We start from the raw sequence: 15,613 nt of genomic DNA, 5'->3' as shown, positions 1-15,613 counted from the left end.
TTATTTTATAAGCATTATTACCTTGATGGTAACCAATTATGGCTTTCCAGGTTTCCAGATGTGGCATGATTTACATGGAGCCTCACATGTTAGGCTGGAGACCACTGATGTTGTCCTGGGTGAATCTGTTACCTGCGTCAGTCAGTGTTATTCAAAAGGAATTCATAATGGGCTTATTTGACAGAATGGTCCCTGTTTCGGTTGAATTTATTAGAAAGCATACAAAGGTAAGGGAAATGAGAATTTTAAGATTAAAAAATAAATGGAAAACTCAAATTAGACTTACATATCAATTTTAATGTCTGTTTTTATTATCAGCTAAGAGATATTAAATCAAAACCTTTTTGATTAAATTAAAAATTTAGATTAGAATTCATGCAGTTCACTAAAAATATTTCAAATGAGGTATATTGGTGCTACTCTTTTCTCTCTAAAAAAAAGAGAACTCAAAGGCCCGCATAACCATGTCAAAATGTTATTTCTTTCTTCTGATGGGCTATTGCATTTTAAATAATTTCCATTATTACAATATTATTTATTATCCAAAGTTCCTAAAATAAGCCAGTCAGTCCATGGTAGAAGGACTGGAAAGAGGTCCCAAAGTAGGCAAATTCATTTTTCTTTCTTTCAGTACACACTGGGGAGGGGAAGAGGAGGGAGGGGGATGGTGGGAGGGAGGAAAATGACAAGGAAATGGGAATCTCCTGCCTCTGAGAGTTGATGAGCTTCAGCGAGGCTCTTAAACTCTCTCTAGCTGGAAATTACAGAGCAAGAATGTTTAATTTCTGCTTTGGGAGATGCTGACCAAAGGTCTTTTAGAATGACTTTGGCCCTGGAGCAAATGTAGGGAAATAGGGTTGATAGTTCTCTTGATGTTGAAGATATAACAAAAAATCTTGAGGCAGAAGTTTAGCTCAAGGTACAGATTTGGAAAATGGACTTTAAAACCATGTTAATGTAGATTACCTAAAGAAAAAATCCAGAGAAAAAAAGAAGAGAGCAAGAGATAGACTCACAGGTACATGAGTGACTTAGACAAGAGAGAGGAAAGAGGGAAGAACATCTGAAGGAAGTGATGTGTCTTCCACCCTGCTCTTTCAAGAAGTTTGGCTGTAACTGAAATATGTTGTAGATACGAAGTAATCATGTTTCAAAAACAGTTAACATATATGAACTGAAGTCATAATAAAATAAGTTTCAGGGCCTTTATGGGGTTTTTTTTCCAGCATTGTCAGAGAATTTAGATAATACAAATAATAAACGAATTTTCTATGTAACTGAAACATCCTTTCTATAGGAAAGCATGACACTTATAATGCAAGCTTTTTAAAATGTGCTGTGCACTTCTGTTATTTCTTGAAGAAATTAGGAATGCCTGTTATTTACTATGTAGTAATAAGTATCTGTTTTATTTGTAATGATAACTATTTGTATTTTAGTGTTGCATCAGTAATACTTAGTCCCACACTTAGAAACTCAGCTGTCATTTCTGATGTTTCTACTGGGGTGGCAACTGAACATGAAGTCACCTGCCTCTAATCTTCAGGGAGTCTGTCTCAGAGAGTTAATTTTTACTTGTTAATCACCAAACAATGTGACTTGGCAATTGGAAGAGAGCTGCGTGGGGAGAAGACAAACGCCTATGAGAACTTGCTATATGCTACATAGTTCTAGGAGCATTACACGTTATTTCATTTATTTTATAAACTATCATGGTGACAAGCAAAAGAGTAAAGTGCACGACAAGTTCAGCACTCCAGCAAGGCTTTTGAGGGCTCCAAGACTTGGAATTGTATTTCATAGTGATGAGTTTACCATGAGTATTGCTGTGGCTTATACATATGCTCTAAAATGGATTTTACTAATTAAGCATTTTAGATATAGAAATTAACTGCCGTCTCTGAAATTTTTTTAGTGTTTTTATTTATAAAATTAGTATACCATGGAATCCATATCTTAAATTAACTGCACACGTAACAGCAATTTTTTAAAACTTGAGAATCGATGCGAAAGGTTAAAGAGTACACACTACCTAAATGTAACATCCAGTTCTCCCAAGTGAATTGTAATAATAGTACCTACTCGTAGGTAGTATGAATTTAAAATTATTACTACCTGTTAAAATTAAATGAGCTTAATAAATATTAGCTGGGGCTATTTTAGCTATTACCTAATTTAAATTGTTTAGTCATTTTTCTTACTGACTTTTCAGGAATTATCTCCTACTTCCGATACAAACTTGGTCCGGTCCTTAATGAATCTAATAGACTGTTTTATGGATGATTTTGCTGATGAAGTCAAACTAAAGGAGAGAAATGATCGAGAAACTTACTCTTTGCTTGAGGTAAGGTCCGTTGCCTTCTGTATCCTGCTACAGAAAGACAGGTATCTACTGCTTTCCCCAAAGCTTCCTAATTTGTGAAACTCATTTTGCCCCTGAAGTTGGAGACTAGTCAACGGGTGGTAGCTGAAGAATGAGCAAAGAGCCAGGCCCCAAATTCTGAGTGCTGGTGGGGAAGCTTCTTGCCTGGGAGTCATGATGCATCATGAGGTTCGGGCGGAGCCCAGTGATCACATCAGATCTGCTACTGAAATCTCAGGTCTTTTGACCAGCCTTAGACATGATCCATTCCCAAAATGTCAGTGACCATTTTGGCAATGAGATTTACCTCCTTTCCAAACTATAATAATTTATTGCTTTATTTCCCTTGATTTTTCTTCCTTTTTTCATGAGATATAAATTATTTGTATGTGTGTGTGTGTATAAATAGATATTTGGATTAAGGAAAGCAAGAAAATATGTAGGTAATAAATAAACCAATTTTTAAAATGGGAATAAAAATATCAGTAGACTTTGGATTTTTTAATGAAAATATTACTGCATTACTCGTGGTAGCACTTCTACTGTGGTCAATATGGTACTTGCTTAACTTATATGTTTTAAAAGAAATTAATTTTTAATTTAGTGTTAAATGGTTTCTGGAGAGAAAGTCTGTGAGTAAACTAGGAGTAGGTGAATAGGGTTGAAGTAGAGTCCAGAACTTTTATGAGCATAGTCCAGAATCTCTTGGCTTTGTACTTAATAAAAGACCTTGTTTTAAACAAGCAAACAGGCTTCCTACCTTATTGGTAGGTCTTGTCTTCTACTCTGTTTCCTCTTTTTGAGTCTGGAAAGAAGAAAGCTAGTATCTTTTGCTTGCAGAATTGCAATTCTAGTTTACACACTTAATGCTCAGATATTACAAATAAAATCATTTAAATTTGTTCTTAAAGTAAACCCACCATATCAAAATTTAAATAGAAAATGGATATGTAGGTTATTTGCCTTATTAAAGTGTGCCTTAATACCTTAATAATTTATTTCTATGTTCCTTTTAATATCAAGCTGCTGTCATGTGTTGAAAATGTGAGATTTACTAGATTAATCATTCTGAAGTTTCACTATGGCCAGAATGTATACTTTGTTTTGTATCATCTTCTCTAAGATTTTATAAGCATGCGATTTGATTTTTAAAAACCCTTATGATTACAAAATCCTGAGATGACCTACTAATATATTTGAGCTTACGTGTTTCCTTTCAGAGATACTAATCTGGCTGATCTGATATGTAAGCTTCAAGGACAGATTAAAATTATTCTTTAATTGTTCTTAATCTTCTCATCTGTCCAATGCAGGGCATTTTTCTGTTTTCATTGATCTGGTCCGTTGGTGCTTCTTGTACAGATGATGATCGATTGAAATTTAATAAGATTCTTCGAGAACTAATGGAAAGTCCAATTTCAGATCGAACTCGAAATACGTTTAAATTACAGAGTGGTACTGAGCAAACATCCTCAAAGGCACTAACTGTCCCATTTCCTGAAAAAGGAACAATTTATGATTATCAATTTGTCACTGAGGTAAGAGTTCTGAAGCAAGATTTGCAGCTGCCAGCCTGGCAGAGTCCCCTCTCTGACACATAGCATATAATGGCCCTGTGGCCACCTTCATCATCACTATTTACCATAAGAGACAGCATAGAATAGAGGAAGATGCACTGGCTTGAAGTCAGACACCTCTAGGTTTGAGTCCTAGTAAAGTCACTTTCTTTCTGTATAGCCATGGACTAGTTGATTTCTCTGAACATAGTTCTTTCCAATGATACTATGAGATAATAATATCTAATGGACCAGTTGCACTCATTAAATAGAATCACACCAGGCACATACTGTTTAAGGACAGCTGTTAGAAGTTCATGGTGCATGTTAGTATACTAGGCACTAAGAAGTCCTGTAGGAATCCAGCTGGTATAATCTTAATTCAGTGCTTCCCAAACGGATTTGAAACTAAAACTTGGGTGGTAGTGGTTTTTGTATAACAACTCCCACCCACAAGTATTGTACTGAGGACCAAGTTTAGGAATATATGTTATTTAAATATATACAGATTTAAGTACAATTGGGATCATACCACATTCCCAATGGGCAGCTTTATATCCTTCTTGTTTTCTTAATGAGAACAGCTTTCCCTTTCACTAATGTTTCTTCAGTAAACATGCTTTCTAAAGTCAATTTCCTACCCTTGGACATTGGACTGTTTTTGTTGTTTTTAGATTCTCACTTTTATAAGTACTACTTTGGTAAATATTCTTAGATACAAGTCATTGGGTACATATCTGATTATATCCTTAAGATAAATTTCTAGAAAAGGCATTACTGTATTGCTTTTTGGATTTTTATGGTTCTTGCAATGTATTGCTATGTCACCCCAAAAGGCGCGACTGTGCCCAACACAGATATTTTTACTTTATTTAATTTCAAATTGCTGATAATACCCTGCATTTTCAGGGTAGTTTACAGTTTATTAAGCTTTCTGCAATTATTTCCATTTCATTTTTCAACACCTTGGTGAAGTGGGAAGGATAAGATTATTTTGCAAGTTTTGCCATTGAGGAAATGGGGCTCGGAGATTTAATGTGATTGTCCCAGCATCACACAACCTCTAAATAACAGTACATTTCAGCGTTTCTGATTCTTTTTTTTTGGGGGGGGGGAGCGGGGACTGAGTCTCGCTGTGTTGTCCAGGTTGGAGTGCAGTGGCACGATCTCGGCTCACTGCAAGCTCCGCCTCCCAGGTTCACGCCATTCTCCTGCCTCAGCCTCTCCGAGTAGCTGGGACTACAGGCACCCGCCACCATGCCCAGCTAATTTTTTGTATTTTTAGTAGAGACGGGGTTTCACCGTGTTAGCCAGGATGGTCTCAATCTCCTGACCTTGTGATCGGCCCACTTCGGCCTCCCAAAGTGCTGGGATTACAGGCGTGAGCCACCGTGCCCGGCCAGGTTTTCTGATTCTTAATGGTTCCTTTCCTATACAGTATCAAAAGACACATGTTTGAAAAGATTATCAAGAATTTGGGAAAGGCATTATTTTCTTCGTTGGTTCTAGAAATATTTCTTTATAATACAATTTTCAGAGTGATGTGAATTTAACACCCCGAAAAAAAAATTCTCTGCTGTACGCACAGCCTTGTACCTGAAGATACAAGAATGAATAAAGCACAGTGCTAGCCTCAGTGAGTTCATAACCTCTTCAGATGACAGTCATGTGCCGTTCTGGCCCAAGGAGTGCCATGCATCAAAGCTCGGGCCCAGGGAAGCGGGGTGGGGGGACCAGCATGTGCATCAGTGAGGCCTGGTTGTGAAGGAAGGATGGGTCCGAATTCTGATGTACTTTGAATGACCAAGAATTTAGATTTTATTCTGCAAGAAGGGTGGTGGTGTTTTTCTAAGAAGACAGAGTTATCATGATGTTGTTGAATGTTTTTGTTATAAACACTGTCATAGCAAATTAAAATTTTAGTTCTCAAGCTAATTGGATGCAAAGATATGGCACAATGTTAACTCATAATAATAATCTCATATTAAGAAATCTTGCCTGTTCTAGAGATCTGTTACACAGCAATGTGAACGTAGTTAACACTACTGAACTGTACACCTAAAAATTGTTAAGGGTAAATTTTATATATTTTTTTCTATACATTTTTTAAAAAGAAATTTTGCCTGCAATGATAAGCTAATGTTATAAATACTGTTATAAAAGTCAAGCAATATGCAGCTTATCTTCTAGGGAGAAAAAATTCTGTATTGGTTAACATTTATTGAATAAAGTTCTTTACTCTTTAGCCTATTGGTTAGTTTGATTTTCTCAATGCCATTAAATAATCTAACATTTGGCCACAATAATTGATTATTAGGTTGGCATAAGCAGTGATTTCAGAGCATCAAAAAACCACAGTATTGCTGTTTCATTTGTATTCATGTAAAAGCTAGTTTCTCCTTAATTTACATGTACAATTTAACCTTCAAACTGAGTGTAAAGTGTCTTAAAGGATAAAACAAATGTATACATATCAGGGTTTGTTGGTCTTAGTCTTTTCTACAATGGCACAGGAGTATAGAGCTTTTTAAAGTATTTTATAGCATTCATTACTTGGTTGTTAATTATAAACAGGGAATAGGAAAATGGGAACCATGGATAAAGAAATTGAAAGAAGCTCCTCCAATTCCTAAAGATGTAATGTTTAATGAAATCATTGTGCCAACTCTGGACACAATTCGATACTCTGCATTAATGGAATTGCTGACCACCCATCAAAAGCCTTCAATATTTGTAGGACCAACAGGAACTGGGAAAAGTGTTTACATTACGGTAAGTACTGCAGAAATCTGCGTATTAAACTGTGCATAATCTTCCTAAGAATGTTTTTGAAATAGCAGACAAATAATTTTTTAAAAATACTCAAGTACTTTGATGTTTGAACTGCAGAGAATTTTTGAAAAATTGCCACTTATTTTTTTTTGTTTTAGCCAAAAGGCCAAGAAGTGATAATTGCCTATTTATTTTCAAAAGTTGATTAATGATACGTTGCCATTTTATACCATTAAATTGTTGTCCCATTTATTTTGATATTTTAATAAGAATTGCTTGTTCCACATGAGAATTTCATACCTCTTGAAAAGTGTGTTTTAGTTACACTTGATATTTTCTAAGTTATTTTATATCTGAAGGATTATTATGTAGTAACAAGACTGATTTTCCTTAATGATGTCTGGAATTGGCTGTTAGTTAAGATAATGCTAGATGCTGTAATAGAAAATGCTGCAGTCTCAGTAGCTTTATGCAGCCTGTGGAGGAGAATGAAGATACTTTTGAGGGCCCCTCTTTGATTGTAGCTTCCAGTTAATTCACATTCTCCCACAGTACCTGTTTCTAGTTCTTTATTGACTTTAACATTACATCTTACAGTCTTTCTGAAATGTATTTGGCAGTATAGTTACATAGCCATCCTAGTATTTATTGAATAATCTCTTTCATAAAAGATTGGAATGACATCTCTCATAAAGTAAATGCTTGCATGTATGGGAGTATCCAAGAGGAGGCAGAGATACATTTTCACTGAGAATTTAAATCAGGGAGTGTTTTTGGCCTGGATTAAAAAAAAAAAAAAACTAAAAGTGTACAGAAAGCTGAGAGATTTATCTAAGATATCACCATGGGTCAGGGAATGGAGACATAACATGATTGAAGGCAGTGGTTAGAGGAAAATGCAAGCCTTTTGTCATTTATACCTTCATCAATTTCAGCCCAGGCAATAAAGTGCCTAGGCATAAAAACATTACTTTTCACAAACTTAGGAACTTACTTCTGTAATCTGCTTTTAAAACTAATATTGTAAATATTTTTCAATTTCATTATTCTTCTACAAGATGATTTTAAGGGTATTGTAATATTTGATTCTATAATTTTATGATAATTGATTCAAATCCCTAATTTTTCTAACATTTTGCTTTAGAAATAAGTTTGCAGGCCGGGCGCAGTGGCTCACGCCTGTAATCCCAGCACTTTGGGAGGCCGAGGCGGGGGGATCACTAGGAGATTGAGACCATCCTGGCTAACACGGTGAAACCCAGTCTCTACTAAAAATACAAAAACAAGCAAACAAAAAAAGTAGCCGGGTGTGGTGGCGGGCGCCTGTAGTCCCAGCTACTCAGGTGGCTGAGGCAGGAGAATCGCTTGAACCCAGGAGGTGGAGCTTGCAGTGAGCCGAGATCGCGCCACTGCACGCCAGCCTGGGCGACAGAGTGAGACTCCGTCTCAAAAAAAAAAAAAAAAGAAAAAGAAAGAAAGAAGATTGCAATGAACGTTTTTATAGCTAAGTCTTTGTTCTTATCTTTGCTTATTTGTTTAGGAAAATATCCTAAGATTCCTGGACATGGAATTGTTGATTTTTTTGATGAATATTAAGCTGTTCCTCATAGAGGTTATTGTCCGCCATGCCCTTCAGGGGGATTTCATTGCCCCAATTAATTAAGATTTAGTTGTATTGTAAATAATACAAATATAGGGTTACAATTTAAAGTGATTTTTCTCTTCAAATTATTGCATGTCTATTTATATTTTAAATAAATGATGAAAAAACGTAGTATTCTATTTAAAGATTACCTAAAAATGTAAGTTAAAACAATACAACAAAAAAAAATTAACTGAAGACACTGGCTGACAGCAAATCTGTTGAGGGAGTTTTAATATCTTGATAGTGGTAGGAAGGAGTCTATAATTTCATACAATTTACTTAGTTGAGAACTTAGATTAAAATAATTGTTAACAAATACAATATTTAATATTCATTATAGCTATTTCTCATTTAAAGATTAGCTCTATTGGCAAATGAGTATTTTCCCTTTCACATAAATACACAGCTTTTATAGAATAATTTTAATCAACACATATAATTTGATCATTAAATTGAATAAACAAACAAGTAGTTTTTATAAGTATGTACTTAATTTTGAGTGTTAAATGTAAACATCAAAAATATTCATCTTTCAGTAGACCAAGTGAAATTTTATCTGCGGTAGTATTATAAGAGGTATTCATTTAAACTGAAGAATAAGGCTTACCTGACGATAGCTTATGAAAACATAAATTTTGTTTATATAATTTTTAAGGCATCCTGATAAAAAGTGAAAATGTGCCATTTAGAATTTTTTAAATCACCTATAAACTCCTGGAATTAGGGCAACATTCTGATAATGGTCTGATTTGTACATTTTATCTCTATATATGACGTAAGCAATACACAGAACCATACTCTATTAATTGTCCCCTTTAGTTACTTCTCTTTTGCTTTCTTTTTGTTTTCATTTACATGATCTATTTTTGCTTATTCTTTTTAAGTATTTCTGATCATTTAGACTCAGCGTGTCGCTGCATTTTTTATTTGTGTTAATCTGAGCCCTTTTTCCTTTTAATAAGGAAATTGACCTCATACATAAATTGTCATAATGAGTCATACTTTTGTATTCACATTTTCTGTTTAGCTTTTTATATGCTTTAAACATTTTTAATTACTGTTATGATGGTGTGTTTATAATATTTTGTTCTTCCTATTGATTTGGAAGGGTACGTAAACTATTTAAAATTCTTCTAGTGTTTATTTTAAAACACTAAGGTTTTTTCTAAAGTCTACAGTTTTTTTCTAAATTCAGTTTTTAAATTATCAATATTATGAATGACAGTATCCATTGACCTCCTTCCCCTACCCAGTTAATGAGGAAGAGTGAAATACTGCTATTTATCACCAATACCTTTCACCATCTTCTGGTAAGACAGAGATGTTTTGAAACCTCAGTTTATTTTTGCCAAATTTTTAATATTATGCAGCAACTCTTTTGGAAGTTTTTTATATTAATTACATTTGGATTTTGGTTTTAGAACTATTTATGTTTATTATGGTTAGATTTAGTTCTGTTTTTAGATGGCCTCAATGCTCACTGCCAAACTGTTCACACCATGGCTTATGTATGTGTTGCATTCTTATTTTCATTATTTTATTATTTTTGAGAGACAGGGTCTTGCTCTGTCCCCTAGGCTGGAATGCAGTGGCACAATCACAGCTCACTGCAGCCTTGACCTCCTGGGCTCAAGTGATCCCCCCACTTCAGCCTCCCAAGTAGCTGGGACTACAGGCATGCACCACCACACCCTCTAATTTTTTATGTAGAAGTGGGATCTTGCTATGTGGCCGAGGCTGATCTCCAACTCCTGGGCTCAAGCAATCCTCCTGACTTGGCCTCCCAAAGTGCTGGGATTACAGGCTGGAGCCACCACACCCACCCTTTATTTCACTCCTGTTTCATTTAGTTCATGCATCAATCCAACAAAAATTTATTGATTACCTACCATATGGCTTCCACTGTTAGCTAATAAAAATATATTATAATACAGTGTTTACATTGTACATCATGTAGGCAAGCTAAGTGAAATAATATTTTAGAGTCTTAAGCAATAATTTTTAAAAACTTGTATAAATTTGCTTTACTCAGACATGTCATTCCTTCATTACAGTTGTTGCTCAGAATAGGGAGTTGTTTCTTTAAATAAATAGAATAACTTGTTTTCAAACTATTATTCCTCTTGAAATAATCTATCACTTACATTATAACTATACAATCATAAAAGAAATTTTAATCATAAAAGTCACAAAAATATATTCCTACTTTTATTCTAAACTTCCCCATTCCCAGTTTTTGCTATTCTAACTGGCAATCACAGGTACAAACACAAAGTCTTCAAAGATTTTAAAGAACTTCCATTTTAGAATGTGCTCATTCTGTGAAAGGAAAATAATTTTAAATTTAAAAAGGTAGCTCCTGCTGGGCTGATGGGAGGAGTAAAAGCCTTCCTCCAGAATCTCTGACCAGCTTGTTACCCTACGTCTTCCTTATTTTCTATATTTGTTCTGCCTCCTCGTACTCCTGGCATGTGTGCTAAATGTAGTCATTAATGAGAACATCATAAGTCCTTTTTAAAATATGTATTGCCTTGATGAATAGATTAATATTCCAAAGTATGCTTTCAGAATTTCCATTTGCTTAATTATGGTAATGTTTAGTGTATAATCACATCATGAAAGGAGGACTTGCTTGAGGTATTTTACCATTTGATATTTTGGGTTAATAATTTAATATCTTAATTATAAAGCTGAATGCTGCAAGCATTTAATGCAAGTAAAGTTTAGAACAGTCAAAAAACTTTACCGTTTCCCTTCCTTTATTCATATGTGCATGTGATAGATATTACTGTTCATTAAGAAAATATGTGATTTACATAGGATGTTTTCTAATAAATTGGTCCTTAAGTGGCAAGGGATTGTGCCCTATACAGAACTCTTGAGGGAGGGAAGGGGAAGAAAGAGTGAGGAGAGGCAATTTTATTTTGAAGAGCTCCTCAGGGAATTCTGGTATGTCCTGTCCCTGGCATACATCTTGATTAAGAACCATTGTAATTCCACCTGGTTTCCAGTGAATTCCATTTTGAAAATACAGTTATATTTTTAAGCTTTCTAACTTACAGAAAGATCGCTTTGTATGTAAGTGGAAAGATAATAAGATATATGAAAAAGAACATTCATCTAGAGAGAGACAAATGGCAGTCTGAATTCTTGCCCATCTCGGAGAACTTAGGCAGGTTTCCTAACCTCTGAGTCTCTGTGACTCCATGTTAAGGAGGAATGTGTATTCCCCAGTAGCTGTGAAAACCAGAGAAGTCACATGCAAGAGGCTGGACAGATGGAGACACTCCATTGGCATGGTAACTGTTATTCCTACTGATTCCATCTATTTGTACAATGTTACAACACTTAAGGTTAAATTCGAGTCTATCAGTAATGATGCTTAGTGTTTATTCTGAAATGTCAAAACATAATTCCAACTATGGCTCATTTTATTATTTTGTTATATAGAATTTTCTTTTAAATCAACTAAATAAGGAAATCTACAAACCTCTGCTAATTAACTTCTCAGCACAAACTACAGCAGCTCAAACTCAGAATATTGTCATGTCAAAATTGGACAAGAGAAGAAAGGGAGTTTTTGGTCCTCCTTTGGGCAAGAGAATGGTAATGACTCTTTGTACAGTACCCGGGCCTATTCATATACATTGCTGCAGTTGGAACAAGGAAACCAAATATCCTGGGGAGAGACATCTTTTTGTATAGTTTTTTAATGTCACAAATTTGGATTAAAAGGTTCTCCTAAAAATGTAGTTACATTTGTATGTGCACTAGACAGCTTGATGTTTAAAACAAGGAGTTGCCCTTTGAGTTGAAGGTAGAATATTCATCTGAGAAATTATCTACCTTCCTAATTTTTTCACTAACATTTTTATTCAGCAGTCTTTGCTGCTTGCTTTTGTAGACCTTCAGCAACACAGCTCTCAATAGATTTACCTGTGTTCCTCTGCAAAGAACACCCTTCTCACCCTAATCACACTTTTCTCATCTATTTTCATGAATTGAAGTGTAGTACAAGGAAAAAATATGCAGTATATTGAGAAACAAATTGTATGAGAGGATTAATAAGTCCTAAGCTATTAACCTACGAAGATTAGTAATGAGAATGTCTCCCTATTTCTTAAGGAATATGAATCCTAAAAGCATGGAAGCTAAGGATATTATCCTTGTTTAGAAAAGAAACCATCACTTCCTCATATGTACTCTGCAAATAGATAGCTAAGTATTTGCCTCAATATTGTTTACACAATAGGACTGTATGTTGAGATGTTAATATTTTCTGTACCTCTTCTCTTCTCATTCTCAGGTTGTCTTTGTAGATGATGTCAATATGCCTGCTCGGGAGGTATATGGGGCTCAACCTCCCATTGAGTTACTTAGACAGTGGTTAGACCACTGGAACTGGTATGATCTAAAAGATTGTTCCATGATTAAACTAGTGGACATTCAGATCATGTGTGCTATGGGACCTCCAGGTACATTTTTTGAGTTTGTGATTACTAAGATGGAAAAATCTCCCTAGCAATAGCTAAAGAAATAACTGGAAAAAAATCCTCTTTTGAGTTGCAGTGTTTTGTGTATATGTTTTCTATGTGTATCTATTGTGACCTAACAGAGTGTATCATATGACCAACTCTATAAAGTGGGTGACCTTGGATGGGCTATGCACCCACCAACTCTTCCAAAACTTTTTTTCTCCCACCTTCTGGAACTTTTTTCTCCCACCTTCTGAAACTTTTTTCTCCCACCTTCTGGAAGTCTTCCAAATCCTTTTTTCTCCCACCTTCTGGAATTTTTGCTCCCAATTTCCTGTTTCTGCCTTCTGAGAACTCACATCGTCCTGGGGCATCTCATCTTCCTCTGTGTCATTCCTTAATGCTTCAATTGTATAGAATGGTCCCTGCTTCAGAAATCATCTTTATTCTACCCCAAATCAAGTCCCATTCAAGTCAGTCTCTGGATTTAAACAGGCTGCTGAGAAGAATTTAAGTAGGGAATGGCCAAAAGATCCTTTAAATTTTCCAAGATAAATTTATACTCAAAGGAATCTCTGTGTAGAGGAAATTTGCTTTTTAATGCTGGGGTGTCTAAAATGGCTTGATTACTAACAAGAAATCTTTAACTGTTTTCTTCCTGACTATTTTCTTCAAGCCAGTATTCCATTTTTTAAAATGTTGCTTGTGTTGATATACCACTTCAGGGAATCTCTCCGGTATTTGCTCCCTAACCCTGACCTTTATCTGACCTGTAATGCAGTTTGTTCTGAGTCAGTAATTGCTCTCAGCACATTCCCTGGGCCATTTTGAACACTTTCTGTTTGTTTGTTTTTGAGACAGGGTCTCACTCTGTTGCTTAGGTGGGGTGCAGTGGTGTGATCATAGCTCACGGCAGCCTTAAACTCCTGGGCTCAAGTGATCCTCCCACCTCAGCCTCCTGAGCAGCTAGGACTACAGGCATGCATCACCATGCATGGCTAATTTTGTTTCATATTTTGTGGAGACAAGGGCTTGGGGGCATATTATTATGCCCAGGCTGTTTTTTTTTTTTTTAAATAAAAGACCATATTGCTCCTGGGTCTCAGACTTCAGTTCCACTTTGTCTCTCCCCCACCACCCCAAGCCAGGCATTTATACTCACATGTCCACTTTTCCCTGCCTCTTCAGGCATTGGTAAGAAAAGTATGCTGAAACCATGAGGTATCTTTTCCTTTCGGACCCCATTTCTGTTTTCTAAAAATATCACAATTCTGAACATTCTCTGGAAGGGTTGGAGACAGAGCTGGGGTAGATGATCTTACCATCTTTTCTTCTGCAACCCTTTCACCATCTCCTTAAACTGTTTTATATTTTCCAAAAGAAATGTATAAGCTCAAAGGAATCTTTCATTATTTTGTGGAAAAATCCCCCAATTTTTAAAGATGCAAGCAGCCAGTGAAGTCACTATATGAACTGTATAGACTCGTCTTGGGTAAATTCGCTTCAAGATGTGGGGGAAGAATTTGGCTATATGTCATGGTTGTGCTGAATTCGAGCCTTGTGGGAAGTACCCTAAACTTTGGTCAGTCAGATTCACCAGAGTTACGTTAATATTGTATAATATTACATTTTAATATTGTATTGAGGATGTTTACCATTTACTGCTTTAAGCTGTAAACTGTGGAGAACATGGCCTGTGGCTTTTTCTGCCTGGTCTGATTTCCCTTAGTAATATAGTTTTGACTCAAGATTATGTCTAATTAGTTTAACTCATTCAGATAATTCACCTAGAAAAGTAACGTCTTGAATTTGAGGGAAAAATAGTTTTGATGTCAGGGTTATCCAAACAATTGATTACTCTTAACTTCATGTGCCGTGAATTTGTCCATCTTTCAAGTTACTTTAAACTATAGAATATTTGAGAAAATACTCTTGTATATACTAGTAACATTATTAAGAGTTATACTTTTTAATATTTAGGTGGTGGTCGAAATCCAGTAACTCCTCGATACATGCGACATTTCAATATTATAACAATCAATGAGTTTAGTGATAAATCCATGTATACAATCTTCTCTAGAATCTTAACTTGGCATTTAGAAATCTGGTAAGTAATCAAAATTTGTTTTTTTTTTAATTAGGAGGTATAAAATATTTTAGAAACATATCAATATTAAGTAGCGTATTTCAAAGAACAAAAGCATTCCTAGATAAGGAAAAGTTAACAGACAACATCGTTTGCCTCTGTTCCTGCCACCTCCCAGTGTGGGAGCATAACACAAAGAGGTCTGACCATTCTGCTATGTAATATGTTCACGTTTGAGTTATTATTTTGAATTTTCACCACTGAGTTCAATTACTGCTGGAAAGATGTACCAGGTTTATGCTGTGACTTTGATACCCTCTAGTAGAACTTGAGTTCTGCAGGGGTATTCGTGTCCAAGTCTGAGAAGTAATGCCTTGGAGCTGCCTAGCTGCAGAGATTGTGCTACTCCACAAGATGCAGAGATATCAGGGAGCCAAGCTGACCTGGGCAGGGGAAGTCTGTCTGTGTGCCCATGCCCATTCTCAAGAAATTGTCATTCCTTGCCTTATCCAGTGATGATGGAGTAAACACCTGGCTCCTAGACAAACCAGAAGTTAAATATAGGCAATCTTTCTAAATGAAAATTATTTCTCTACATTCTTTATACTCTAATCATGCACTTTGTCTTGGCTCACTGTTTTACTTTCCTTTTTTTCTCTTTTCCTTATTTTTTTTACGTATTTTAATTTTCTTCCTTTTTTTCCTCTGAAAATACCT

At 35.5% G+C, this 15,613-nt stretch overlaps 1 protein-coding gene across 12 annotated transcripts in view; it reads left to right on the top strand.

Annotated features, from left to right (window-relative positions):
• The window catches only part of DNAH7 (dynein axonemal heavy chain 7), a 331,135-nt gene that overhangs the window by 180,353 nt on the left and 135,169 nt on the right, over positions 1-15,613 (top strand). For 10 of the 12 annotated variants that reach the window (XR_922968.4, XM_011511488.4, XM_017004504.3 and 7 more), the window contains 7 exons: positions 51-227; positions 2,213-2,344; positions 3,676-3,900; positions 6,493-6,690; positions 11,786-11,941; positions 12,642-12,810; positions 14,791-14,917. Coding sequence is in view for 11 of the 12 variants with exons in the window: in XM_011511488.4 (XP_011509790.1) it covers positions 51-227; positions 2,213-2,344; positions 3,676-3,900; positions 6,493-6,690; positions 11,786-11,941; positions 12,642-12,810; positions 14,791-14,917 (1,184 nt within the window). In the remaining variant the exon portion in view is untranslated. Of the gene's footprint in view, positions 1-50; positions 228-2,212; positions 2,345-3,675; positions 3,901-6,492; positions 6,691-11,785; positions 11,942-12,641; positions 12,811-14,790; positions 14,918-15,613 lie in introns of those variants that run through there. The other 2 variants (XM_011511490.4, XM_011511497.3) reach the window with 2 other exon arrangements.

Source organism: Homo sapiens, chromosome 2 (genome assembly GCF_000001405.40).
Source record: "Homo sapiens chromosome 2, GRCh38.p14 Primary Assembly".
Taxonomy (NCBI): Eukaryota; Metazoa; Chordata; class Mammalia; order Primates; family Hominidae; genus Homo; species Homo sapiens.
The sequence above is the reverse complement of the archived record's forward strand: the minus strand, read 5'-3'. Positions and strand labels throughout refer to the sequence as shown.